The following is a 2,821-nucleotide window of genomic DNA, read 5'->3' on the forward strand; positions in this document are numbered from 1 at the left end:
AAAAAAAGACAAAGTGCCTTAAGCACCTGCAAGAGTTTCTCTCTTATCTGTCGTTATATTAGTCACCAAAGCCATTCCACATAGATTGCACATGTGCCTTTCTATATATACAAGTAATATCGAACACTGATTAGAGTAGCAGAAAGGGATGAAAATTTTCACAGGCGTCCATGTGTTTTGTGACTTTGAACGACCATGCGGACCACCACGGGGCCCCAATGCCACCTGTCAGCAGCTCTGAGGATGCAGCCAGCAACAGGCAGGGAGCAGCTGCTGCCGAGCTGCACACACCCCCATCCTCAACTGCAAAGCTGAGTTTTGGGTCATTTCAGACAAAGGAGAGTCTATGCTTCCATTAGACCTCATGCCCAGGCAGGCTCAGATGTAACGTCATCCTCTGTGTTCAAAATCTTTATATACATTATCTATAGTATGAACCTTACAATTTTGCAAGACAGATACTGATATCCGTATTACACAGAAAAATTCTGTCTTGGTGAAATTAAGTAGCTTTCCCAAGACCACATAGCAGGGAATTGTTAATTCTGAACTCCTATCTACACGTGTCTAACTCCCCACCAACCTCCTGCCTCTAGGATCCCCGTACAGCCTCAGTGCTTCTCCACAATCTCATTCAAAACCCTCAACCTTTCCAACTGAGCCAGTGAAGTTTCCCCAGAGTCATACAACTTCCGAATTCTGATTCAGAATGTTTCAAGAACAAATTCACCATTTAAAAAACAAACACATAGAAAGACACAGATTTTAATGTTTTAAAGAGTTCATTTTGGAAAACGCAGAGGGCCAGATATGACACTGTTAACTTAAAAGCTCATTTTTTGTCCCCAAAATGTATAGCTGTCAAATGAGTGAAATTCTATAACACTGTGCTTAGGAACCCTTTAAGGGAAAGCAAAATAAATTTATAATTTTAATCGTTTTAATTACGATCTTACTTTTCTGATTTCTGCAGAAGGCTTTACTGCTAAACTTATCCAAAGGCAATTTGGATAATAAGACTTGAGATTCATTGTTCACATGTTTGTAACTTTAATAGCCTAAAATAGTTGCTAAATTGCCCAAAAATGGGAAATGCTTTTAAGCTAAATGGCAGGAGAATGAAGTCAGGCCATTTACTCTCATGTTATCTTTTTCCTTCCGGACTCACTTCAAGATGTGTGGGCGGGGTAAATGCCAGGATATTTTACCTTTCAAATTCAGAGATCTTTAGATAAAAGCCGCCCATATTTGGACTGGGTTTAGAGTGGAATTCTCAGCCTAACCCTCTGCCTGCTTTTTCAATCTGTGATAGGGAAGGTTCATTTCATTTTCTTTGTTCATGGCCACCAGCCTAGACTTCCCCATATTTCTAAGATATTATTTTACTTCCTCTGTAAACCTTTATAAAGTAAAGCAAACAAAAGCAAGCAAACAAACAAAACATACCACATTTATTTGGGATTATTTCTGTTCACTGAAAATCGCATCCAGAAGTGGCCACTCCACACAATCGAGGTGATTCAGGTCTCAAAAAGCCAGCAAATTCACGTGTGAAGGAATCTCCCGGTCTCAGTCCAGTGTCTGTCAGCACCTTTTCAGGCCACTCCATGAAGCTGGCAGGATGTGCGAACAATATCTGTTTGCTGCTGAATTCGTACTACGAAAGGGTCGGTCGATGGGGGGATTTCAAGTGGGCGCCAAGGCCCATCAGTCTTTCTCCGCTGTCAGTGATAAGAAGCCAACAGGAGAGCAACGGGACGAGGGGAAACACTTCCAGGGCTCACAGGAGTAGCCAACGGTCACCAAATTAACATCTGTTACGCTGTAGCTCTCTGGAGTATATTTGCAAGCATTCTGAAAATTAATTAAAACTAGCTTGTTTTCTATTTCTTGATGGTGAATAGAAAGGAAAAAAAAATGAAGTAACTACATCTTAAAGCAGAATAAGCAAAAAGTTTTATTTGAGTTAAATTGGAAAAAACAGTCGTGGGCTCTTCAGTTGGCTCTACTATCTGCCGCCAGGGCTGCTCCGAACCACTCCACAAGTCAAAACGCGCTTTCACTCTGTCTCGGCATACTCTGCTTCCCTGTAACACAGGCGGTGGAAATTCCAGATCGGAAAGATACACGACCGTATTTCACTCCCATGCGGATTGCTATACACAAAGCCCTTTGCATTTGAGATTTGCATTATGCAGCCATCAAAATGCAATCTGCCACCCTGGCCATCTGACTCACGGACAGCTGCCTCTTGCCTCAATGGGCTCCTGCAGTCCTAGAAATTATTTCGGCAAGTGCTGCCCCTGGGCCTTCCAGGTGGCCTGAGAGAGGACCCACAGTCCTTGAGACAAGTGGCAACGACTGAAATGAAGATGCAGGCAGGCACACTTGCGCCAGGCCATCCAGAAGATCCTTTGACCACTGACTCTCATTTCCAAATGAAGCACCATCTGGTGACCCACTCAATTCCACCTGTCACTGTAAAATTGACTTATATGGGAAAATGGGTTGTGATATGTAAGGTTTTACTTTAAAATCAACCAGGTCACGATGTGTGCATTGCATCAAGGGATATGTATATGTTAAAATCTTCAAAGAATATTCTCTTCCCTGATAACCTAGCTACTGAGTCATAACTCAATGTCAGAGAGGCATTCCCCATATCTAACCTTAATTCTGCATGCTGTCATTTAAGCCCATTTCCTTTCGTTCTGCTTTAGTAAAATGTAAGAACACTAGCTGGCCACAATCCCATGCAGAAGGTTCACATTTTAATTTTTTTTTTTTTTTTGACCAAGTCTTGCTCTGTCACCCAGGCTGG

At 42.2% G+C, this 2,821-nt stretch overlaps 1 annotated feature.

Moving 5' to 3' along the window:
* Window positions 251-750: an enhancer, noted in NCBI's record as "H3K4me1 hESC enhancer chr5:4099687-4100186 (GRCh37/hg19 assembly coordinates)". NCBI's record gives its function as "activates a minimal SCP1, AML or CMV promoter by ChIP-STARR-seq in naive H9 embryonic stem cells {active_cell/tissue: H9 hESC(naive)}" and the evidence as "EXISTENCE:reporter gene assay evidence [ECO:0000049][PMID:30033119]".

Source organism: Homo sapiens, chromosome 5 (genome assembly GCF_000001405.40).
Source record: "Homo sapiens chromosome 5, GRCh38.p14 Primary Assembly".
Lineage (NCBI taxonomy): Eukaryota > Metazoa > Chordata > Mammalia > Primates > Hominidae > Homo > Homo sapiens.